The 25,712-nt window shown below is 43.5% G+C and overlaps 2 protein-coding genes across 2 annotated transcripts in view, besides 5 other annotated features; both read left to right on the forward strand.

Annotated features, from left to right (window-relative positions):
• Positions 573-1,306: an enhancer, noted in NCBI's record as "OCT4-NANOG-H3K27ac hESC enhancer chr6:144586575-144587308 (GRCh37/hg19 assembly coordinates)". NCBI's record gives its function as "activates a minimal SCP1, AML or CMV promoter by ChIP-STARR-seq in naive H9 embryonic stem cells {active_cell/tissue: H9 hESC(naive)}" and the evidence as "EXISTENCE:reporter gene assay evidence [ECO:0000049][PMID:30033119]".
• Positions 1,307-2,040: an enhancer, noted in NCBI's record as "NANOG-H3K27ac hESC enhancer chr6:144587309-144588042 (GRCh37/hg19 assembly coordinates)". NCBI's record gives its function as "activates a minimal SCP1, AML or CMV promoter by ChIP-STARR-seq in naive H9 embryonic stem cells {active_cell/tissue: H9 hESC(naive)}" and the evidence as "EXISTENCE:reporter gene assay evidence [ECO:0000049][PMID:30033119]".
• Positions 19,839-19,908: an enhancer, noted in NCBI's record as "active region_25214". NCBI's record gives its function as "activates an Ori minimal core promoter by ATAC-STARR-seq in GM12878 lymphoblastoid cells {active_cell/tissue: GM12878}" and the evidence as "EXISTENCE:reporter gene assay evidence [ECO:0000049][PMID:35858748]".
• Positions 20,039-20,098: a silencer, noted in NCBI's record as "silent region_17640". NCBI's record gives its function as "represses an Ori minimal core promoter by ATAC-STARR-seq in GM12878 lymphoblastoid cells {active_cell/tissue: GM12878}" and the evidence as "EXISTENCE:reporter gene assay evidence [ECO:0000049][PMID:35858748]".
• Positions 20,309-20,408: a silencer, noted in NCBI's record as "silent region_17641". NCBI's record gives its function as "represses an Ori minimal core promoter by ATAC-STARR-seq in GM12878 lymphoblastoid cells {active_cell/tissue: GM12878}" and the evidence as "EXISTENCE:reporter gene assay evidence [ECO:0000049][PMID:35858748]".
• Positions 20,469-25,712, forward strand: part of UTRN (utrophin) — a 567,700-nt gene continuing 562,456 nt past the window's right edge. The window contains exon 1 of the mRNA NM_007124.3: positions 20,469-20,955. The gene's annotated coding sequence lies outside the window, so the exon portion shown is untranslated. The remainder of the gene's footprint in view (positions 20,956-25,712) is intronic.
• Positions 21,632-23,088, forward strand: LOC124901418 (uncharacterized). The gene has a single exon (XM_047419641.1). The coding sequence runs from the start codon at positions 21,805-21,807 to the stop codon at positions 22,411-22,413; it is 609 nt and encodes a 202-aa protein (XP_047275597.1). The 5' UTR covers positions 21,632-21,804; the 3' UTR covers positions 22,414-23,088.

Genomic DNA, 25,712 nt, shown 5'->3' on the forward strand with positions numbered 1-25,712 from the left:
ACAGAACCAGAAAAATGAATGCAACCACTGGATCACTGGCAGGATCCAAACACTTGGCTTCTCAAGGTAACCACTGAGAGGCTGGAGGTCAAGTTCAGGAAGGTACCATGTAGAAACCATACTATTCACCCAGCCAACTGGAGACAGTTAACCGATCACAAAGAAAAATGAAAATTGCAACTTCTAGAATTTAAAGGGGTTTGTCCCTGGAATCTTGGCTCTGTTAATGGCATCGACCCCTCAGGTTAATATTAAACAAACTACACTCTGGTATTCATTACCTTATCGTGAGCCAAAGGAAGATAAGCAAAATATGCAGGGCTCTGACACAGCTGGAGTGGGCCACGTAACAGAATAGCTCTTGAAGAGCCTTTTACTAGTACCGTCCTGGTAACAAATAACATTTAGTGATGATTAAATGAGTATTTATTCTCACCAAAGAAATATGCAAAAATTTCCTCATATATTTTTGTGTCTTAATCTCTTTTCTTTCCAATCTATAATTTTTCTTTAGCACAGGTTTTCTCATTCACTTAGTTTCAATGTTATTTAATCTTTATATAAATAGCCTTAAATCCCATAGAGAAATCAGCAGGTCACTAAACACTTAAATACTTATTAAGAAAATGACAGAAGAAATTTTTTCTATCTTCCTCTTTCGCTTCTCTTTTTAAACGAAGGTTGGTTGACAGTCGGGTGATCTCAGGCCTAAAGTATTTGGCTTTCCCCATTGTTCAGGACTCCGGGTAAGCCTTGGTAGGCGAGTGATCTACAATTAAGATGACAATCCCCACCCCCCTCCTTTGCATTTAGAAGTTGGGCCTTTGGGATTTTACAGTGTGCTAGCACTCTTAAAGACTATTCATATTAACTGCCTTTTTGGTTGATAAATTTGTATATCAGGGTAGTTATTATAACTACCCTGAGCTAAAAAATGAACTAGAGATTTTTGCAAATATGCAAAAACTGCTCTTACTTTGGAAAAAAGCAAAAAAACAAAAAACAAACAAACAAAAACCCCCAACAATCTCAGCTTTCATAATTAATTTCAAAGAACAACCATCAGAACAGTATTTTTTCCCCAAAGTGGGAAAATTGAAAAATATATATATTTTAAAAGATTTTGGAACTGCAGAACAGACAAATGTCCCAACTCTTAAAATCTGAAGTTAATAAACGGCTCAAAAATCTTGCTGAGCTAATTAATTAGACCTGTTCCCCAAACACTCCCTGTTGTCTTGAAGTTGAAGGAAGAAAAGGCTCTTTTTCCCACCCCTCCCCCATCCAGCAGGAGGAGCTGGAAATAGAGACTTGGTAAGTGGACTCCCGAAAGGGTTATCCCTTTCCAGTAAGCCTAGGTACAGTTAGTGCTACTAGGACAGGATGCTGGCTGAGTACAAGCTCAGCCGGAATTCCCAAAACAGAGGCACAGCTGGGGTGGGGCAGAAGCAGAGTCCTCCAAATTCACAGCTGCTACCAGTTTCAAAACTGTTTTTAGAAGCCGCAGGGCTGGGAGTGGAACAGGTTCTGTTCACTTAGTGTGGCTCAGTTTGCAATTCTGGGACAGGAGCCAGGTAGAGGATTTTCTCCCATAATTCTTAAAGATGACGTGTGCTCTCCGGAGAGATGTAACATTACAGACTATTAGAACTCGGTGGGCCTTGGGAGGTCTTCTAGTGGATCCATCCACTCATCCTACAGGCCAGGCAGTGGAGGCTCAAAAAGTTAAGCAACTTGCCTAAGGTCACATAAATGGCCTCTGACAGAGCTAGGACTCTGTTAGCTCAGAAAACCCAGTATTTTCTTCCAACTCATTTATAGTTGGTTATCCAAATCAAAATTACATTAAAATTTTCAGATATAAAACATAAACTTTGGCACATATATTTAAATTTTAACTGTAGTAAAATACACATGACATAAAATTTATCATCTTACCCATTTTTAAATGTACGATACAGCAGCATTAAGTAAATTCACATTATTATATATATATTTAATTTGGATTCCATTTCTACCATTTTATTTTATGCATTCTATTGTTCCGCCTTTTCTACATTCTTTTATATTCCTTCTTTACTTTTTTGGATTACATTTCATGTTTTATTTTTTCTTATTCTATTTTTTTCTTTTACTAGTTTAGAACTTATATCTTTGTTTTTTATATTTTATGGGATGTCCTAGAATTTATAGCATATATATAAAAATGTATATACACACACATACATATATATACGCATGTATATATGTGTGTACTTTAATGAAGTGTGTAATTTAATAAAGTCTTAAGTTAATCAATGTTTTACCCTCCTGAACAAAACACATACCTTTGGTTTTTTGTTTTTTATTTCCTTTAAAATTTTTTATTTCTATAGGTTTTTGAGGAACAGGTGGTATTTGGTTACGTGAGTAAGTTCTTTAGTGGTGATTTGTGGGACTTTGGTGCACCCATCTCCCGAGCAGTATACACTGAATCCAATTTGAGTCTTTTATTGTTCACCCCCCACCCCCATGTACATATATTTAAATGCTGAGTATCTACATGGCAATTGAAAGGGTCAGTGAAAAATGTCTTCCCCTGGGCCTGGCGCGGTGGCTCACGCCTGTAATCCCAGCACTTTGGAAGGCCGAGACAGGCAGATCACAAGGTCAGGAGTTCAAGACCAGCCTGGCCAACATCGTGAAAACCCATTTCTACTAAAAATGCAAAAATTATCTGGTTGTGGTGGCAGGCACCTGTAATCCCAGCTAATTGGGAGGCTGAGGCAGGAGAATCATTTGAACCTGGGAGGCACAGGTTGCAGCAAGCTGAGATTGTGCCACTGCAATCCAGCCTGGGTGACATGAGCAAAACTCCGTCTCAAAAAAAAAAAAAGTCTTTCCCATTATCAGTCAGTTATTTAATGGACACATACCACGTGACTCTACATGGTGGGATCAGACAGCCTCTGGGCCCTCAAGGAGCTTATCATTTGTTTAGGAGACTCAATATATAAACAGAAGACAACTATAAAAGGCAGTATCTGATATGTTTTAAATGATGGTACTCACAGTAAGTGTGAAGAATCCAAAGGACACAATCATTATGAGATGAGTACTCAGGAAAAGCTTCAACGAGAAGGTAGACTTGCGCTACATTAATATGAGCAGGCACTCCAGATGAAAGAACAGAGTGACATGGGGGTGAGCTGTAAAAGATGTTCAACAAAAAGTGACTAGAAAAGTCTCAGAGTATCCAGCATGGGTTGGTATTAGACTATAGATAAATGGCCATTACACACTGATATTATTAGATATTAGATAAATGGCCAGTTTTATCTTGTAAGCAATTGGGAGCCATTGAAGATTTTTGAATAACATGATTACCATGTTTACAAGTTGATTTGATGGCAAAGTGTAGGATGGATTGAAGGAGGAAGAGTTGTTTGAGTGAGGCTAGTTAAGACGCCAATACAACAGTTCAAGTACAAAGGCAAGTTCAAGTACAGTGGTAGGATTGGACATTGATAATGTAGATATGTAAAAAATATATAATGAACAATCAATAGAACTTTTTAATTGCCGGGTGCGGTGGCTCGCGCCTGTAATCCCAGCACTTTGGGAGGCGGAGGCAGGCAGATCACGAGGTCAGAGATTGAGACCATCCTGGCTAACATGGTGAAACCTCGTCTCTACTAAAAATACGTAAAATTAGCCGGGCGTGGTGGCACGCACCTGTAGTCCCAGCTACTCAGGAGGCTGAGGCAGGAGAATTGCTTGGACCCGGGAGGCGGAGCTTGCAGTGAGCCAAGACCGTGCCACTGCACTCCAGCCTGGGCAACAAAGCAAGACTCCGTATCAAAAAAAAAAAGAACTTTTTAATCAATTAGATTTTGAGTGTGAGGAGGAGAGGCAGGAATACTAGGTTCAAGCTGGAGTGATGAGAAATGTGGTTCCAGTTGAATGGATTGGGTAAGTGAAGCGAGGGAAATAATATGGAAGGGAAGTTCAGTTTTAGATATGCCAATACGGAAAAAATAGACATCCAAGCAGAAAAGAGAAAGTCCTTTAAAAAATGTATAGAGCTGTACAACTGCAAGGCATGACTATTCAAAACATTTTTCAACAAATGCTTTTGGTTTTTATCTGCATCTTTGGGCACAGTTTCAACAGTATTGGTCTCACCAGCTTAACCAGCTGAGATGGGAAGGATTAAGTTGATCACAATGTATGACATACTCTTCATACAGAAGTTTAAGGCTTGTAACTCAAAGCTTACAAAATGTCACTTTTACTTTATAATAATGGAGAAATAATTGGAGACATAAAAGCTTTGAGTACTCTATTCAATTGAGAATATTCCTATGGGAAATGAAAAATGCAGTCAACAAACTTATGATTGTTTTATGTTAAGCTGCTGGGTTTAAACATTTCAACCTGATGTTTTTCGTATGAAATAAATTTAGAAAATATTGTGTAAGATGGTTGCGTACTAACAGTGTTGGGATCAGATCAAATGAAGCTTCATTGTTTATAAAGTCACTTAATTTTCCACTATTGTGACCTAGAAATGTTGAGCCACAAAGCAAAGGGAGCTTTGTTAACTATGAAGTAAACAGGACTCTGTAGTTTTCCTCCTTTCTTTCTCTTACCAGGAAGGACTTATTGACTGCCACAGTAGGCATAATGCCTAGGGATCATGATACTTTTAAGAGGCCTATGAAATTCTACTAAATTTTGCCTGAGAAGGAAAAAAATTGAAATATTTAAAGTTATATCAAAAATAAATTTTAATATTAATGTTACAGTGTGAGGGGCCCACATAGTCAAAGTGCCTAGGCCTCATGACAGTCATAATGCAGCCCTGCCTCCTATACTTAAACCCTCTCCAATTCTAACCATAAAACCATGGCTTTTTGCATTATTCTGCATACATGTATAAATTCTGTGAGCCTGTTTTTTCCAATTTTTATTAAAATATATTTAAACATATATATATATATATATATATATATATATTTTTTTTTTTTTTTTTTTTTTTTTTTTTTTTTTTTGAGACAGAGTTTCACTCTTGTTGCCCAGGCTAGAGTGCAATGGTGCAATCTTGGCTCACTGCAACCTCCATCTCCCGGATTCAAGCGATTCTCTTGCCTCAGCCTCCCAAGTAGCTGGGATTACAGGCATGCACCACCATGCCCAGCTAATTTTGTAGTTTTAGTAGAGATGGGGTTTCTCCATTTTGGTCAGGCTGGTCTCGAACTCCCGACCTCAGGTGATCACCCCCCACCCCCCTCCTTGCCTCTCAAAGTGCTGGGATTACAGGCATGAGCCACCGTGCCCGGCCCATAAACATAATTTTAATTATCACCAAGTTCCACAAAGTTTGCAAAGAAAATTGTCTCCCAACCCCTTATTTTCCATATCCCTTTTCCCAGAGGTATCTATTTTTAACTTTTAAACATGCTTCATCTGTTATGTAACTCCATTTCTCTACATAAGACACTTGTAATGTTACTTTTTTTTTTTTAGGTTTAGACATTACCTATTGACTTCCCTTCATGAAGATGAGGATTTATGTATCTTTTGTCCTCCACCCTTACCAAATAAAGTCATAGATACTTCTAAGCTATTCATTCTCCTTATTTAGATTTATCTTATTTCTGAATAACTCAGTGTTCAGGGTTAACATTGCTGTGACTCTGTAGGCTATTCAGTGTCCAGCCATATGGGCAACTATGATGACATTTTCTTGACTGTACAACTTGTAGTTTTTCCTCAGTTAAGAATTGTCATGTTTTCTCATTTGCCCAATTTTCTTTGTACACATTTATCCCTAATCCATACTCCTCACCAGATGGTTAAATCTTTTCTTGATACATTCATTAATGTTGGGTGTTATCTCAGTTTTATTGTCTTAAGTTTCTTCTGGAGCACTTAGGAGTAAAAGTCTCCAGATGGGTTGCCCCCATGCTTGGTGCATCATCCTGAGTAAGTGTGGGAATTCCTTTTGCATTTCTTCTATGTTACATCTGTTTTACCCTGTAACTCTTGTGTTCATTTTTCTAGACTTACTCCATTATTTTGGTGGTGCACATCCTGCAGTAACTCCCTCAGAAAAATATGTGTATGGGAGAGGGGTAAATTTTTTTTTTTTTTTTTTTAGTCAGAGTCTGGCTCTGTTGCCCATGCTGGAGTGCAGTGGCCCCATCTTGGCTCACTGCAAGCTCCGCCTCCCAGGTTCACGCCATTCTCCTGCCTCAGCTTCCCGAGTAGCTGGGACAACAGGTGCCCACTACCACACCCGGCTAATGTTTTGTATTTTTTAGTAGAGATGGGGTTTCACCATGTTAGCCAGGATGGTCTTGATCTCCTGACCTCGTGATCAGCCCACTTCAGCCTCCCAGAGTGCTGGAATTACAGGCATGAGCCACTGTGCCCGGCCTAAAATTTTTGACTAAAAGATATGCACCCTCACACTTAGTTCAGAAGTTGGACAGATATTTAAGACAATCCTAAGCAAAAAAGAACAAAGCTGGAGGCATCCTACTACCTGACTTCAAACTATACTACAAGGCTACAGTAACCAAAACAGCATGGTACTGGTACAAGAATAGACATTTAGACCAATGGAACTGAATAGAGAACTCAGAAATAAGACTGCACACCTACAGCCACCAGATCTTTGACAAATCTGACAAAAACAAGCAATGGGGAAAGGATTCCCTATTTAATAAATGGTGCTGGGAGAACCAGCTAGCCATATGCAGAAACTGACACTGAACCCCTTCCTTACACCTTATACAAAAATTAACTCAAGATGGATTAAAGACTTAAATGTAAGCCGGGTGCGGTGGCTCACGCCTGTAATCCCAGCAGTTTGGGAGGCCGAGGCAGGTGGATCACCTGAGGTCAGGAGTTGGAGACCAGCCTGACCAACATGTCAAAACCCCATTTCTACTAAAAATACAAAATTAGCCGGGTGTGGTGGCACGCGCCTATAATCCTATAATCCCAGCTACTCAGGAGGCTGAGGAGAATTGCCTGAACCCGGGAGGCAACCCAAATGCCCATCGATGATAGACTGGATAAAGAAAATATGGTATATGCATACCCATGGAATACTATGCAGCCATAAATAACAATGAGATCGTGTCCTTTGCAGGGACATGGATGGAGTTGAGAGCCATTATCCTCAGCAAACCAACGCCAGAACAGAAAACCAAACACCACATGTTCTCACTTATAACTGGGAGCTGAATAATGAGAACACATGTACACATGGCAGGAAACAACACACACTGGGGCCTGTCAAGGTGGGGTGGGTATGGGGAGAGGTAGGGCATCAGGAAGAATAGCTAATGGATGCTGGGCTTAATACCTAGGTGATGGGATGATCTGTGCAGCAAACCACCATGGCACATGTTTACCTATGTAACAAACCTGCACATCCTGCACATTTACCCCTGAACTTAAAATCAAAGTTAAAGGAAAAAAATAAAAAAAAGAAATTGGCTAGATATTTAATACTATTTAGAAATTATTTCCCTTCGGAATTTTGAATGCGTTACCCCATTTTCTTGTAACTTTCTGTGTTGCTGCTGAGAAGTTCAGAGCCCTTTTGATTTCTGATACTTTGTATGCAATCTTCCTTCCCCCACCCACCAGGAAACTTGTAAAATCTTCTCATCGACCCCATTGTCTTAGTCAGTTTGGGTTGCTAGAACAAAGTACCATAGACTAATTGGCGTATACACAACACAAATTTTTGTCTCACAGCTCTGGAGGCTGGAAGTTCAAGATCAGAGAGCCAGCATGGTCAGGTTCTGGTGAGGGCCTTCTTCTAGGTTGCAGGTGGCCTTCTTCTTGTTGTATCCTGACTTGGCAGAAAGAGGGAAAGAGTTCTGTGGGGTCTCCTTTTATAAGGACACTTATTCCACTCATGAAGCTCCACCCTCAAGACCTAATTACTTCTCGAAGGACCCACCTCCTAATACTATCACATTGGGGGTTAGGATTTCAACATATAAACTGGGGGTGGGGGAGACATCAACATTCTGTCCCTAGGTCCTGTGTTCTGAACTAGCTCTGTTATGTGTCTTAGTGTGGATATATTTTCATTGCTGGATACTCAGTGAACCCTTTCACACTGCAGACATGTATCCTTCAATTTTCAGAAATCTTAAATTATTTCATTGATGAAATAATTGCTTTTTCTAATCTATCTTTGAGGAACTTCTTCAGGACTGGCCTTTTAATTTGCCTATGTTTTACCTGTTATTTTACATGCTGTTTTCTTTCTTTCTGGGAGATGTCTTCAACCTTCTCTTCCAATCCATCTATTGAGTTTTCATTTTTACAACGTTTAAATTTATTTTTTGTTCTCTGTAAATTTATTTTGTTTCATTAATTTTTGTTTCATTAATTTTAAATCTTCGAATACCTCTCTCTCTCTATTATTATTATTATTATTATTATTATTATTATTATTATTGAAAGATGGGGGGAAACAGCCAGGCACAGTGGCTCTTGTCTGTAATCCCAGCACTTTGGGAGGCTAAGGTGAGTGGATTGCTTGAGCTCAGGAGTTCAAGACCAGCCTGGGCTACATGACGAAACCCTGTGTCTACAAAAAATGCAAAAAAATTGCTACTCATGGTGATACACACCTGTAGTTTCAGCTACTTGGGAGGCGGAGGTGGGAGGATTGCTTGAGCCCAGGAAGTGGAGTTGCAGTGAGCTGAGATCACACCACTGCACTCCAGCCTGGGCAACACAGCAAGACCCTGTCTTGAAAAAAAAAAAGTGGGGGTCGGGCACAGTGGCTCACTCCTGTAATCCCAGCACTTTGGGAGGCTGAGGCAGGGAGATCACCTGAGGTCAGGAGTTCGAGACCAGACTGGCCAACATGGTGAAACCCCATCTTTACTAAAAATACAAAAAATTAGCCAGGAATGGTGGTGGGCACCTGTAATCCCAGCTACTAGGGAGGCTGAGGCAGGAGAATTGCTTGAACCAGGAGGTGGAGGTTGCAATGAGCCAAGATCGCACCACTGCACTGCAGCTTGGGTGACAGAGCCAGACTCCGTCTCAAAAATAAAAAAATAAAATAAATAAAAAAAAAAAAGATAGGAGGTTGCATTAGTTCGTTTTCACACTGCTGATAAAGACAAACCCGAAACTGGGAACAAAAAGAGGTTTAATTGGACTTAGAGTTTCACGTGGCTGGGGAGGCCTCAGAATCATGGCAGAAGGTGAAAGGTACTTCTTACATGGCTGCAGCAAGAGAAAATGAGAGAAGAAGCAAAAGTGGAAACCCCTCATAAACCCATCATATCTCATGAGACTTATTTACTATCACGAGAATAGCACAGGAAAGACCGGCCCCCATGATTCAATTACCTCCTCCAAGGTTCCTCCCACAACACGTGGGAATTTTGGAGATACAATTCAAGTTGAGATTTGAATGGGGGCACAGCCTAACGATATCAGGGGTCTTGCTGTGGTGTCCAGGCTGGCTTCTAACTCCTGGGCTCAAGTGATGCTTCTGCATAGCTGGGACTACAGGCATGTGCCACCTTGCTGGACTCCTCTCTATAGATATTAATACTAATTTTAAAAGAAGTTTAAATTTTTTTTTCCTGACAACCTAGTCTTTGTTACTTTCAAGTTGCCTTTTGCTGTTTATGTATTTTATTTCAACATTTGTGCGAGAGGCTATCCTCGGATGTCTGATAATTCTTGACTGTCTGCTTATGATTAAGGGTATCACAATACACAGCCGAGGAGAAGCTCTCCCTACATGGGTGGCTTTCATTACTTCACTGACATGGGTAGCTATTTTGGCTTGGAACCTCCACTGTCTATCTTACGGTGTTTCTTCTTGGGCTGTTCAGATTCCCCATAGAAGGCACCTTCAGCCTCCTGTATGAATGGGGAAGGCCTGGCTGCCTGTATTCTGGTTGTCATACTGGGAGAGGAGGCAGGTGGTGTTGATCCTCCTTGTTTTTGGTACAGTTCCCCTACCTTGACTTGGTTCCCTGGTCTAGAGATCCTCTGGTTTCTCTGTTCCAAAAACACAGTTCTAATCTTCTTCTGGGGTTGCAGCTGCCTAGTTTTGTAGGGTGGGTCAAGGAATTGAGGAATCTAACTATTTCTTTCAACCAATCCTTTTGATCCTGTCCCCACCACCCTCCACTTTCAGGGTACTTGGTGCCTTCAATTCCTGGGCTTTTGCCTGACATTTCAGTGGAAATTATATATGTATTTTTCTTAGCTGCCCTTGCTGCTAACTTAGGATTAGGCTTTTTCAGGCCTGCAAAGTCAATTTCCATTTGGCCATGTTCTTTCCTCCTTCAAAGGTGTTGTTGTCATTATCTCCCTCTCCTTGGAGTTCTATGCCTTAAAATAAGTCATTTTGGTGTAGTTTCGGTAGGGTTTGGGAAGAAGCAAAGAGAGTTCAATCTCCATCTTTACCTGGAAGTCACTGCAATTGAGTTTTTGATTATAAAGAGTTTGAACAGCCTCTTGTTGCCAGGGCAACATGGCGAAACCCAGCCTCTACAAAAAAATAAAAAAATTAGCCAGGCGTGGTGGCGGGTAGTCCCAGCTACTCTGGAGGCTGAAGCATTAGGATCACTCAAACCCAGGAGGTGGAGGTTGCAGTAAGGTGAGATCATGCCACCGCCCATCAACCTGGGCGACAGAGGGATACCCTGTCTCAAAGATAAAAAAAAGGTTAGAAGGCCAGGAGAGGTGGCTCAGGACTATAATCCCAGCACTTTGGGTGAACAAAGTGAAACCCTGTCTCTACAAAACATACAAAAATTAGCCAGGTGTGGTGGCCCATGCCTGTATTCCCAGCTGCTTGGGAGACTGAGGTGGGAGGATCACTTGAGCCTAAGAGGTGGAGGCCACAGTGAGCAGTGATCGCGACACTGCACTCCAGCCTGGGCGCCAGAGACCCTGTCTCAAAAAAAAAAAAAAAAAATTGAGTATTTAGTTTTTTATATAAATACAATAACTTATGGGGCTTTTGAAATTTTGGATAACATTTTATAAGCATCTACGATCATCTGGCCAGTCTTAACACAGTGTTTTTTCTCCTCTTGTGTTGCTATAAAGGAGTACCCAAGGCTGGGTAATTTATAAAGAAAAAAGGTCTACTTGGCTTGCAGTTCTGAAGGTTGTACAGAAAGCACCAGCATCTGCTTCTGCTGAGGGACTCAGGCTGCTTCTACTCATGACGGAAGGGGAAAGGCAGCCAGAGTGGGCAGATCACCTGGCCAAAGAGGAGAAGACAGAGGGTGGGAGGGAGATGCCAGGCTTGGTTCTTTTGGGTTTTTTTTTTGAGACGGAGTTTCGCTCTTGTTGCCCAGGCTAGAGTGCAATGGCACAATCTCAGCTCACTGCAACCTCCACTTCCTGGGTTCAAGAGATTCTCCTGCCTCTGCCTCCTGAGTAGCTGGGATTACAGGTGTGCACCTCCACGACTGGCTAATTTTGTGTTTTTAGTAGAGACGGGGTTTCTCCATGTTGGTCAGGGTGGTCTCGAACTGTCGACGTCAGGTGATCCTCCTGCCTCAGCCTCTCAAAGTGCTGGGATTACAGGCTCTTTTTAACAAGCAGTTTTCAAGGGAACTAACTGAGTGAAAACTCACTTATTACCTCAAGGACTGTACCAAGTGCTTCATGAGGGATCCTCCCCCATGAACTCAAACACAACAACTCCCATCAGACTCCAACATTGGGGATCAAATTTTAACATGACATTTGGAGGGAACAAATATCCAAACTATATCACACAGCTATTGCATTAACCCAATGTTTTGCAAACTTGAGTAATGTTCTAACCCTTCTTAAGGAAAAATGAAATCTATAGATTCCTGGGCTGAATTACATTATTTTAATTACAACGTTATTTAAATGTGTACAAACAGGCGGCCGGGCGTGGTGGCTCACGCTTGTAATCCCAGCACTTTGAGAGGCCGAGGTGGGCAGATCACGAGGTCAGGAGATCGAGACCATCCTGGTTTACACAGTGAAACCCCGTCTCTACTAAAAATACAAAAAATTAGCTGGGCGTAGTGGCGGGCACCTGTAGTCCCAGCTACTCGGGAGATTGAGGCAGGAGAACAGTGTGAACCTGGGAGATGGAGCTTGCAGTGAGCCGAGATCGTGTCACTGCACTCCAGCCTGGGCGACTGAGCGAGACTCAGTCTCGAAAAAAAAAAAAAAAAGAAAGAAAGAAATGTGTACAAACAAGCTTGCACTATTTATACTTATAGCTCTTGTCCATTTATATAAGACAAAAAAACCAATACAACAAAAGCACATATTTAATTCAAATTAACTACATAAATTTAATGTGACAGATTATTTTAATGGAGCAGAATTGCTGCTCTAAATATGAATATGATGCTTATTGCTGTGTCATGGGTTCTTTCAAGCTCTTCATCCATCTGCTACAATGTGTTGCATGAGAGACAAATTTGTCCATCTCTCCCTGAATTTGAAACACAGAGAAACCATTTTTCAGATAGCAAGGTTTGTTGCCATACAAGCATGACTTAGCAAGAATGCATCTTTTACCTACTGAGCCTGCATCTGTTCTTATTATATTAGTCTCTAACAAATATGACACAACTTCATGACGCCAAGGGGATCATAAATGTGAAAAAGAATTTTGCTCTTCTTTTAATTTAAACATATTTTCTGAGGAATGTTTTGTGCTGCCCACATGAGTTGACTGGTGACACCAGTCGGTCCTTAGCTCTCTGGGAAGCTTTCCTGGAGAAGGTGACCGTTTTATCAAAGCAGGAAAATAGTATGTACTTATGTAGAATTACAGAAATGAAAAGCACCTTTTCCTGGATTTTCTTCACAAAGTAAGAGCAAATACTAGGCGAATAAAGCTGCCTATTGGAAGAAGGGTACATTTGATGTGGCAATACCATTTCATTCTCGGGCAGATGGCCACCAGTTTGAGGTCTGTGGTAATTTGAAGTATACTGAAAAGCAATGTGACCTAATTTTGTAAAACAAAATAGTTGACTTTGTTAAAATAATCAATATTTTAAAATTGTCTGCATGACTCCAATAGATTGTCCCAATATTTTCCTCTTTTACTGCAATGGACTGCTTGGGATTTCCCCTAGGCTCATATAGCTAGAAATGCCCAGTAATCACTGGGAGGCACTTATCAGTGCATTGGAGCCCCTTGCTAGTTCCCCAGAGAAGAAATCCACATAGTGTCTGGTCCTGCCCCTCCAGGCCCTCGATTTAAGATGGGAAACTCATGTTTATTTGAGACAGGGTCTCAGCCTGTCACCGAGGCCGGAGTGCAGTGGCATCATCACTGCTCACTGCAACCTCGAACTCCCAGGCTCAACCGATCCTCCCACCTCAGCCTCCTAAGTAGCTGGGTCTACAGGCCTGTGCCACCACGCCGGGCTAATTTGTATTGTTTTATTTTTTATTTTTTGGTAGAGACAGAGTCTCAATATGTTGCCCAGGCTAGTCTCTAACTACTGGGCTCAAGTGATCCCCCCTGCCTCGGCCTCCCAAAGTGCTGGGATTAGAGGCATGAGTCCCTGCACCTGGCCACGTGTTTGAAAGGCAGAGTAAGAACGCAGAAGAATTTGGCATCCATCTAAAAACTATGAGAGTTTTCTAGAAGGAAATAATGGTTGATAAGGCAGGGCCAGCTGATTAATACCATAACTTGGTCAGGCGCAGGTGTAAGTCATGTTGGCCATCTCTCCTCAATACAGAGAGGCAGTGCCCAGAGGGAGGAGTCCCGGAAGCAGGGAGGGGGGTGGGGGAATGGGCCATAGAGACACCAGATCCCTTAGAAATCAGCTGACAGTTTAGAGTCAGCCTTCCAGAGGGGCATCAGAAACATTGAGCTGACCTCATCCAGCCTTCCTGTCGGATGAGTTGCACTGGAGCAGGAGGATGCACAATCCAGGCTAGAGGGGTGTATCTTCTTGCAAGTGAATTGCAAGGGTGTGTCCAGGAACCCGAACCTTGCCTCTGGGCAAGGAAGCTGCAGAGCTACACTGAGGGTTAGGGCTCTTGCCAAATAGGCTGCGATTTAGGGCACATTCCAGTTCCAATAGCCAACTGGAGTCTGGCAGGAGAACCAGTGCAAAACTAGACATAGAAGATGTCTGATCATGGCCTGGAAATCTAGATGGTAATCCCCCATCCCCTGCATACCAGGCTAAGACTGCAAATGTGTTTGGGTTTAGCATGTGTTAGGGAGCTAGGGAGACCACCCAGGACTCCAACAAAAGGAAATGCTCCTCCTGCCGCTTGCCACCATTCATACATATTCCATGTCTTCCTTTGCCTGAAGCCTTCTCATAGGCCTGCTCTTTTCCTGATTAATTTTTATATTGAACTGGGCTCATTCAGTTGCAAGTGACAGAATTCCAATACACATTAACATTCAGGATAAAGGGAGTGATAGGGCACTGCCGATGGGCATGGAAGCCAGCGACTCTTGCATTCTCAGCTTTCTCTGTATATTTTCAGCTCCCGGTGCAATGGTTTAATTTTCTCCTTCTATAGAAGTGGAACTCCAGCCAGTAGTAGGAGCAGGAGAGGGGAATGGAGGGAGTTTGTCTCAATTTTATGTCACTCCAGTTTACTAATTCCAAAGGAAAAAAGAAAAAGGTAACTTTCCCTTTCAGTGTTACCATGAAAACGCCTAGCAAGGACTATTATGGGCTTAACTTGGATCTCTGGTCCCTGCTTAGACTAATTACTGTGGTTGGGGAAGGGGCCCTATGATTGGCTATTCCTAGGTCATGAGCCCACCCCCAGGCTCAGTGATTGACAGTCCCACAAAATGATTGACAGCCACACAAAATCTAATTGGAGCAGAAAAGGAAATCTCCAAAGGAAGGAGTAATATTCCTTCAATAAGAGTGGAAAGATGTTGGGCACAGCAAGACAACAGGTGCCTTTTAGGATTCCTACTCAACCACTAAGGCTCAACTCAGGTGTCACTTCTTGGTACTGCCCATTCCTGTCCTTTCTATTGGGTTATGTGTCCCTCTCCTGGCTCATGTTACATTTTGGCTGTACTGGTGTACCCTATTAATTTATAATTGTCTATCTATGTGTTGGTCTTTCTCACGAGACAGTGAGCTCTTTGAAGGTAACCACTGTGGCCTATCCCATTTGCATATCCTGCTTTGCAGCAGATAATGGAAGTTCCAGGAATGTTTTCAATAAAGAATGAATGAAGACAATCACAAAATGGCAGCCAATCCTCTTGAGTTAAGAGAAAGGGGAAAGGAACATAATAAAAGTAAAAAGTACCAGATTTGGTGGTAAATGCTTTATGTTAACTAACTCATTTGATTCTCACAACACTTGCAGAAGGTATTACTCTTTCTACTTTACAGGTAGGAAGCTAAAGGTTAAGTTCCACAAGCTTACATGGCTAATAGCCTTCAATATCATAATGAGTACTTAGGTAACTAAAATCTAGACCAGTTCTCTTTCGGCTACGCTCGCTTTCTTCCCCCACCTTCTCCCCTCTTCTTCTGGTTAACAATGAACTCATGTAACATAGGGATCTTCTCTTTTCACTTCTCAGTAATTTGGACACTTTCCCCCAATAGATTGTTTTATTTTACCTAAAGGTATTCCCTGATCAGCTTTGTATCTTTCATTTGCTTCTTTGTAAAATCAGAGGGTTGGCCGGGGGCAGTGGCTCACGCCTGTAATACCAGCACTTTGGGAGGCTGAGGCGGGCGGATCACGAGGTCAGGAGATCGAGACCATCCTGGCTAACAAGGTGAAACCCCATCTCTATTAAAAATACAAAAAATTAGCCGGGCATGGTGGTGGGCGCCTGTAGTCCCAGCTACTCGGGAGGCTGAGGCAGGAGAATGGTGTGAACCCGGGAGGCAGAGCTTGAAGTGAGCCGAGACCACGCCACTGCACTCCAGCCTGGGAGACAGAGCGAGACTCTGCCTCAAAAAAAAAAAAAAAAAAAAAAAAAAAAAAAAATTCAGAGGGTTGATGGAAAGACTCTGTAAAATCTTTTTCAGCAACAACATTATAAAATTATACAAATTAAATTAAGCCAAGAAAAATTTATAAGTAGGATAAACTCAGCGTAGACTGTGTTTTGTTCAGTTTTCCCCGAAGGTGGTGCTCTGGGTTTCCCATCCTCCACCCTCTCTGCGTCTCTTCCTTCTCTTTTTGGCGCTTCCTTTATTCTCCCATTTTGATCAATCAGTTGCTCTTCTCTGCCCAACAACTTAGTGCTTTTATTTTGCCCTTAGCTTCTTTGGATTCCACATTTCAGCTCCTGTATTCTCAATATTCCTGTCCTCCTTGTCCTCTCATCATTAAACTTTCTCTTCAGAGCCTCATTTCCTCAGAACTGGGCCATGCTTCCTACCACCTGTGCAGGTTAAATTGCCAGGAATAGTCCTAGGGTTTTACCAATTGTAGGTAACCTCCAGGGTGGTCCGAATCGAATGAAACACTTGAATTCAAAGAGATAAAGCTAATCACGGGTATTTCATAATTATGATTGATTCAGTATGGATTTTTTTTTGGTAGGGCAATTTCTTGACCCCTCCAATCATCCAAAGTGGCCTATTTAAGGCCAGCACCCCAGGGCACAGGGGCTCAAAGTGTGGCTCCTCAGCTATTCTGATCTAAAGCTAAGGCATGTTAAACCTGCAGCTTCCTGGGCCCCACCAGGCCTAGTCAATCAGAATTTCTGGGGAATGGCAATCAATCTGAATTTAAAATATATTCTCTGGGTAATTCTTGAGTGCATTAAGTTGTAAGGAACTCAGCCTTTGTACTATTTATTTTCTAAAAGTTTCATGTGCTATTATTTTTTGTTTCTTCAATTCTATTACAAAAATTTATATGATAAAATTTTATCAACTCGCACACATACTAGACGTTTGACTGAAGAATTTACCAACAATACTCAGCAAAAATCCAGTATCTATTACACACAAGCTCCAGATTTATACTTTTTTTACCTGAAAAATATAAGAAAGGCTAAATTCCCTAAACTTTCCTCCTCTCTTAAATGCTTGTATGTGGGGCTTTAATTATAGTCAATACCAAAGGTAAAGCTAAAGGAGTGTCTTGTTTTTTTATACATTGTGTATTTTCCCCTGTTTCTACTGTTTAAAGAAAAACTGCATTTATATAGTCTTGCACAAAGTTTAGTAGCAAATGTTTTCCTTTTGGTTCTTATATTAGGATGCAGTTCCCTGTATGGGAATAATATTTATGTGAATCATGTCTATATACACTATACACACATATACATATATCTTTATATATGAATCTATATATACACTACTCATATCATAATTTTCTCCTTTGTCAAAGGCTTTCTATCCTGCAGTGACACTAACTCCATTTTCCTTAATTTTCACAGTTCTGTGGTGACAGCAGGGCAATTCTGACTTTGGGTTACCAGTAGACCCAGGGCCACATTCCTATTATTCTCTCCAGATGTTCTACAGCGATCTGATCTTTGGGATGAGCAGACAAAACCCCACTGAGCATCCTTGTTGCAGGCCCATTACCTTAGAGGCCTGTCTCCACCGTGCCTCACCTAGATTCTCTGGATATAAAGGAAGATCACACTGTGCTTTATGGAAATATAGCCCTCTGTGGTCAAGATCGCCCACCAAATGTGGTTTCCCTACCAAATAAAGAAAGTGTTGGGGGACAGGACCAGCACAGGACCAGCTTGAGATCTCTTGATCGTTCCATCAACAAGAATTCCGCCCTCCCTCCCTCCCTTCCTCTTCCTTCCCTCCCTCCCTCCTTTATTTCTCTCTTTCTCTCTTTCTTTCTTTCTGACAGTCTTGCTCTGTCACCCAGGCTGGAGTGTAGTAGCGCCATCTTGGCTCACTGCAACGTCTGCCCCGGGGTTTAAGCGATTCTCATGCCTCAGCCTCCTGAGTAGCTGGGATTATAGGCATGTGCCACCACGCCCAGCTAATTTTTGTATTTTTAGTAGAGACAGAGTTTCTCCATGTTGGCCAGGCTGATCTCGAACTCCTGACCTCAGATGATCCACCTGTCTCGACCTCCCAAAGTGCTGGGATCACAGGTGTGAGCCACTGCACCCAGTCAACAAGAATTTCTTTAGCCTCTTTTGCTCATTACCTACAAAGAGCATCAGTCTCTGCCTGGAGAGAAGGGCTAGAAACAGATAGGGCACAGGTCCCCAGGTAACTGGCTGTAAGCCACTATGGCTGATATGCGGGGCAGGTCACTCCTGCACAGAAGGTGGCTTGTTGGCCTCCTGTTCCATCTCTTACAGGCGTTGAGGAAGCTCGACTAAACATCTCCTCACAGCTTACAATCCCAGAAATCATAGGACCCTAAACGTGCGTTTTTCAAAATTTTTGAGCTAAAATGATGTATTACTTTGTAAATTGTGAAAAGTGTCACAAATATTAATTTAAGTGACAACATCATCAAACACTCCAATGTGGCCTTATTATCTATTTTGAAGGAGAAAATCTGAGTTTCATCAACTCAACCAGGATACAGTGAGTGATAAGCAACTTTTGGTGTCTGCAAAATGATCAGTTAAAAAAAACCTGGGGGCTGGGCACGGTGGCTCATGCCTGTAATCCCAGCACTTTGGGAGGCCCCGTCTCTACTAAAAATACAAAAAATTAGCAGGGCGTGGTGGTGGGCGCCTGTAGTCCCAGCTACTAGGGAGGCTGAGGCAGGAGAATGGCGTGAACCCAGGAGGCGGAGCTTGCAGTGAGCGAGATCGCGCCACTGCACTGCAGCCTGGGCAACTGAGAGAGACACTGTCAAAAAAAAAAAAAAAAGAAAGAAAGAAAGAAAGAAAAAATCCTGGAGTCCCTCTATGTGACCATACTCAGCTAGCACTTGATCTGTTCTTTTCTTATGGCATTTATCTCCCGGATCTTGTATATACTTACTTGTTTACATGTCTTATCTCACCTACTACATTCCAAGTTCTTTAAGGGTAAGATCACTATCAGATTTATCTTTGCTTTACCCACAGAACCAGCAAACCTGACAGCCCTAAACTGATGCTTGTTAAATGAATGAATGAAGTGAATGAATAAAATCATACCCATTTCAAGTTAATCCTTTGGATTTTATTTGGCTTATACGTAGAAAATCATCAAAAGGAAGGAAACTGTCCTAGAAACCTTACAAGGAAGAGTCTCTTTTGGGAATCTCCTACCTGCCCCCTCCCTGGAGCACTTAGGGATGGATGGGGGAAACTTTCACTATAACAAAAGGCGAGTAAACTCTTTCTGAAAATTAGTTTAAGGCCCCTAGTGGTTTAATCTTTACTGCCGCGTAAATTAACTCAAATATTAAGCCAGCAATAAACCGGCGCTCCAGTATCAACCATCCTTTTCTCTGTTAATACGAACTAGGAACTCAGGTTGCTGTTTTCTTTCCCCTCCCACGTGTGCTGATCGTGTAAAAGAATCACAGGAACACACGAGCAATGAAATGTGTAAATAAGAAAAATGCACACACATCACGAGCTCATTTCTTCCCAGATATTTTTTGGTCAACCTCTCAAGCTTGGAACAGGCTCTATAACAGATGTGCGTTTGTGTGTGCATATTGGAAAACAGAAAAATAAGGTCAGCGCAAACACTACTTGTAATACAAACTAATGTAAGAGAAAACTTCTTTTTCAATATTAACAACGACACTAGAGAAATAATGTAAAATAAATATACGGTTGGAACTAGGGGTAAAAAAAAAATCAGCAACGTCAGCAAACTGAGATGGGGTGAGTTGGAAGGCAGATTGGAATTTATCTCTTAAAAAAATATCACCCTAACTAGAGACCTGTTTTGCCTAAGGGGACGTGACTCACATTTTCGGATAATCTGAATAAGGGGAATTGTGTCTGCTCGAGGCATCCATTCTGGTTCGGTCTCCGGACTCCCGGCTCCCGGCACGCACGGTTCACTCTGGAGCGCGCGCCCCAGGCCAGCCAAGCGCCGAGCCGGGCTGCTGCGGGCTGGGAGGGCGCGCAGGGCCGGCGCTGATTGACGGGGCGCGCAGTCAGGTGACTTGGGGCGCCAAGTTCCCGACGCGGTGGCCGCGGTGACCGCCGAGGCCCGGCAGACGCTGACCCGGGAACGTAGTGGGGCTGATCTTCCGGAACAAAGTTGCTGGGCCGGCGGCGGCGGGGCGAGAGCGCCGAGGGGGAGCCGGAGCGCTGCAGAGGCGCGGGCCGGAGGGCTGGCGCTGATCTGCACCCTTCTCATCTGGAGAGCGGACCCCTGGCTGCCCGGAGGCGAGCCCCTTCCCGGGGGGTGGGGGCGGCAACGCGCGACCCAGCGGTCCTGCGCCCCACCCTCCCTCCTCCGCCTCCAGCGCTCGGCTCCAACAAAGGGGCAGGCCCGCAGCGGGGAGGAGGAGGAGGAGCCGCCGAAGGAGCGAGCCTCTCTCGCGCACAAAGTTGTGGAGTCGTTTTTCCTCGGAGCAGGGAAGCGGGCAGCAGCAGCCGGCCGCGGGCTTTCTCCCGCCGAGGGGCGAGGAGGAGCCTCTGGCTCCAGAAGCCGATTGGGGAATCACGGGGAGCGGCGCCCCCCTTCTTTTGGGTCATTTCTGCAAACGGAAAACTCTGTAGCGTTTGGCAAAGTTGGTGCCTGCGCGCCCCTTCCAGGTTTGCGCTTTGACTGTTTTGTTTTTGGCGGAACTACCAGGCAGGAAGATTGCACAAGTAAGGGGCGTTTTCAGTCGGGTGTCAATTTCTCTTTCTTTCTTTCTTTTTTTAAAATTTCGGTTCGTGTCTGCTTCTCCAAGCTTTATTTTTTTTTTTAAATACATCGCACCACCAAACTAACACTCGCACACACCCCCGCGGTTACTCCGTGTCAAACTCCTAGAGGAGCCCTTGGCCAGCTCGGGGTGCGGCGGTGGCGACCGGCAGGCGAGGAGGCCCGCGGGCAGCAGGTAAGCCCATGCATTATTGAAGCCTCGGGCTGGTAATGTGACTACAGCCCCCGAGGGAATGGGGCGGGGGCCGGGAGGAGGATGGCTCTTTCTGTGGTTCTTCCGCCTGGGATCGGCGTCCCGAGCTGCTTCCCAAGTCCCAGAGTCGAAGATGGGAGTAACTTTTGCGTGCCCTTTCCTCGGGGCCTCAGTTTAGCTCCCCGCGGTGCGAGAGAGAATGCCGGAGGCGTGGAGAGCTCGGGCGTGGAGGTCCTTGGGATCCGTACTAGTTGTGAACGATCCAAACTTATCTGACCAGCTCTGTGCTGCCTCCCTGCTCCCCTAATCTTCCTCCCCGCCGGGGTGACAGAGTCGCCCTCCGTGCATCGCGCGGTGCAGGGCGCTGGGCCAGTGATTTGCAAGAGGGGACGTGGCCTCTTAGGAGAGTCTGTCACAGACACCCGGGCCCGGGGAAGGCGGGGCTCCGGCGGTGTCCACAGGAGAGGGTGGGCAGAGGGTGGCTGTGTGGTCGGCGGCCAGCGGAGCGCTTCCCAGCCAGCCGCCCGGCGGGGAACGTGCTTGACCTCTGGGTGGTTGCTGCTCCCAAGGGTGGGGCTCCGGAGAGTGTGGCGCGATCGCCAAGCTCCCTGGCAGCGGCCCTGGAGAGACTGAGGGGACAGGAGGAGGGGGGCGCCCCATTGGTGTGTAGTCCCGCGCAGTCGCCGGCTCTCCTTTTCCGGACTCTGGGGATCTCTTGCTGCAACTGACAAGGTAATTCATGCCCCGCTTTGGCCCGGGGTCCGAGGCTGTGGTTGCTCAAGGCCACTTAAAAACCAACAAAGCACCAATTGAAGGCTGTGCAACTTTCAGATGGCAGGTTGTTCAAAGGATTTTTTCCTCCAAGCCTCAGATTATGAAAGGGACTCATTCCAGTGCGTTTTTCGAGGAGGAGGGAGAAAACGTTGCCCGACCTCCGAGAGAGCTGTGGGACCAGCACTTTATTTTACAAGGAACTGCAGAGCTCGGGTTCTAACTCCACGGCCCCGCTCTCTGAGGTGTTCAGGACAGGGCCTCCTCTTTCCCAGCCTTCAGGTCAGCCGGATCACCAGGGCCTTGCGGGCCAGTTCCCCCTGCCGCGGTTGGGAGGGTCAGTGCAGCGGTCGCCGCGGCCAGAGCGCGCGGAGCTCGGGGGAGGCCGGATTCCCTAGGTCTGAGCCGACCCTCCCGGCCGCCCGGCCGGGCGGCAGCGACCGCATCCATTCCTTTGTAAGTTGCACCGGCCTCAGGAAGTCGATCTGGGCCCTCCCGGTTCGTTGGCGGTGGGCGTGGGAGACGCAGCCTGCGGATAGCTCAGGGTCAGGGGAGAGGTGGAGGAATGCGAAGCTTGTGGGTAGTTCTGCGGTGACGGACAGGGTTGGCGTGGAACCATTCCCCGCCCCTTTTACCAGCCTTTATGGGACCGATGAGACAACTCTTTAACTCTCCTTTGGGTGTTTACCTAAAATTTATTGGCTCTGTAAACAGTATTAATCACAGTAGTATTAACCTTCCCTGGAGCGCTTCCGAGTGTAAATGGCAGTTCTTGGCACTCACCGTTTTCTTTTACTGTGTTTCAAGCAGAGCAGCAAACTCTTGTCCGCTTGGCTTCCTTTTCTACTATCTCAATCGTTCCTAGGTTTTGGTTCCTATAGTAAATTAATGAATAGTGTTTGCATTACACAGCATTTCCATCATAATGCACACTGTTGGATATATATGTGCTATATACATAAAATATAGTACAAAATAAAAATTATATACATATATTCATTGTATAATTCCTAAAATCTTAAAAAATTGAAACATTAGTTTTGTCTTTAAGGCTGTCACCTTATGTTTATTTTTTAAACACCTTATGTTTATTTCATACACTCTTGCTTGGTGGTCCATATGACAGCCGGAAGCGTTCTGAAGGGAGAGTTAGTGAATATCGACTTGACTGGATTGGTTTCAGTAAGAACATCTGGCTTTTACAGAATATCATTTGAGGGAAGGGAAATCTAGGGCAGAGGTAACAATAAATTGCATTTGTATAGGGCTTGAAGCTTCTAAAGCAACATCTCATTCATTGATTCTCAGTTTCTCACCTAGCCTTCTGTGAAGATGGTGTTCCCTCCATTTTATAGGTGTGGAAGACGGAGGGTCACACTGGGATGCATTGTTCGTGGTGAAACTTTGATTCTGTCTCCTGAGAACCAAAGATTCTGCATTTGGCAATTAGAAGGAGTCATCCTTTGCCTTAAGTGTACTCAAATTCCTCTGGCCATTAATGGCAAGTAACCTCAGTGGCTATCACTATTTAAATAGCCTTCTGTTATTCTTCTTTCTCCCCATTTTCCTCTGTACTCTGATCACCTTTTCTGCTGTATCTTTGCAACCTGTAAGGGATTTTCATTATCAAGAAGAGAAAAATTTGAAAAATCACCTTGAGGAGAGTGGCAAGTGAAACATTATAGTGAAGAAGTGTTACTGATAATGGGCAAATGGAATAAAGTAGTGTGTAAACAGTTGACTTTTCTCTTTTATGGGTGAATAAAGGCTTTGGGTAGCATAGAAGTGGAGATCTTGGCTAAGACCAATAGTGAAGAAAAGCATTAGACTTACTGCTCCAAAGTGATACACTGTAGTTCTTTCCAGGAAAGAGAATTTTTCCCTGGGCAAACTTAATTTTCCATGATAAACTTTTATAGACATTCTTCTGAACAAAGTTTTTGATTCTTGAATATAATAAAATACACTTAAGAATTTAGCAAATCCTTTATAGTTATGTACTTGAATGAAAGAATGTAATCATATAATAATCCATAAATTTTTAGCAGTAGTAGAGCCTATAAAAAATGAAAAAAGTTTTTTAGACTCTCATAAAATCTGTCAGATTGATGATCCAATCCTTTATATCCAACTCTCTCTCTCTCTCTTTTTTTTTTTTTTTTTTTTGAGATGGAGTCTCACCCACTCGGTCGTCAAGGCTGGAGTGCAGTGGCAGCGATCTTGGCCCACTGCAACCTTTACCTCCTGAGTTCAATCAATTCCCCTGCCTCAGCCTCCTGAGTAGCTGGGATTACAGGTGTTTGCCACCATGCCTGGCTAATTTTTATATTTTTAGTAGAGACAGGGTTTCGCCATGTTGGCCAGGCTGGTCTCAAACTCTTGACCTCAAGTGTTAGCCAGGTTGGTCTTGAACTCTGGACCTCAAGTGATCTGCCTGCCTCAGCCTCCCAAAGAGCTGGGATTACAGGCATGAGCCACCATGCTGGGCCCAACTCTCTTTTTGTCATCTCCGCTTATATAACTCAGAGGCATTTCAAGCTCTGCAAATCCAAATCACATTGATGATTCCTTTCTCCCAGCCTGCTATCCTCAGTGTTGCCCAGCTCAATGACTCACACTTCACCTAATTGCCTAAGCCAAAATTGGGGAGTCATTTTGCACATTTTGCACATTGGATATGAATCTCTCATATCCAATCAATTCCCAAATCCTATTGACTTTCTTTGATATCTAAATATCCCACATATTCACCCATTTCTTTCTATCTACTCTTGTTTAGACCACACTTGTTTCCTGCATATAATATTACAATAGAAAGAATAGCACAATAAACACCCAGATGTCCTTTTTATTTTATTTTATTTTATTATTTAAAATTTTTATTTACATGGAGTAGAGACAAGGTCTCACCATGTTGCCTAGGCTGATCTCAAACTTCTGGGCTCAAGTAATCCTCTCGCTTAAGCTTCCCAAAGTACTGGGATTACAGGTGTGAGCCACCTCGCCTAGACCCAGATGCCCTTTAACAAGTTTTCCCACTTACTTTATTTTTTTTGAGATGGAATTTTGCCCTTGTCACCCAGGCTGGAGAGTAATAGCACAATTTCGGCTCACTGTAACCACCGCCTCCTGGATTCAAGTGATTCTCCTGCCTCAGCCTCCCAAGTAGCTGGGATTACAGGCACCTGCCACCACACCCAGCTAATTTTTGTATTTTTTTTTAAGTAGAGATGGGGTTTCACCATGTTGGCCAGGCTGGTCTCGAACTCCTGAACTCAGGTGATGCACCTGCCTTGGCTTCCCAAAGTGCTGGGATTACAGGCGTGAGCCACCTTGCCCGGCCTAGTTTTCCCACTTATTTTACAATACTTACTGCATTTTTCTGTCTGTCTGTGTGTATGCATATATACATCTACATACATATATCAACCTAAATATACCTATATCAGTATAGACAGATATATGCTATTCTGTTTGAACTTAAGTTGAAGATACCATCACACTTCATTGCTAAATATTTCACCACATGTCTCTTACAATCAAAGACATTCTCCTGCAACAATACCATAATTAATGTTAAAGAAATTTAACATTGATACAATAATATTGTCTAATACATAGTCCAAATTCAGATTTTTCAAATGATCCTCAAATGTTTTATTTTAAAATTCTGAATTCAATCAAAGATTACATTTCATTGTCATGTCTATTTAGTCTCCTTTAATTCACAAAGCTCCCCCTCTCCCAGGTAATTTTGGTTTTCAAGACGCTGACAGTTTTGAAGAAACCAGGCCATTTCTTTTGAAAACTAGCCACAGTCTAGATTTGTCTGCTCATGAGAAGATTCACGTTCAACATCTTGGCAAGGATATTGTGTAGATGATGTGGTGATTTTCCATTCAATTGCATGATGCCCCATGATTGGTTATGTGAATTTTGATCACTTGGTTAAGATTAGGAATTTTTCC

This window comes from Homo sapiens, chromosome 6, assembly GCF_000001405.40.
Source record: "Homo sapiens chromosome 6, GRCh38.p14 Primary Assembly".
NCBI lineage: Eukaryota > Metazoa > Chordata > Mammalia > Primates > Hominidae > Homo > Homo sapiens.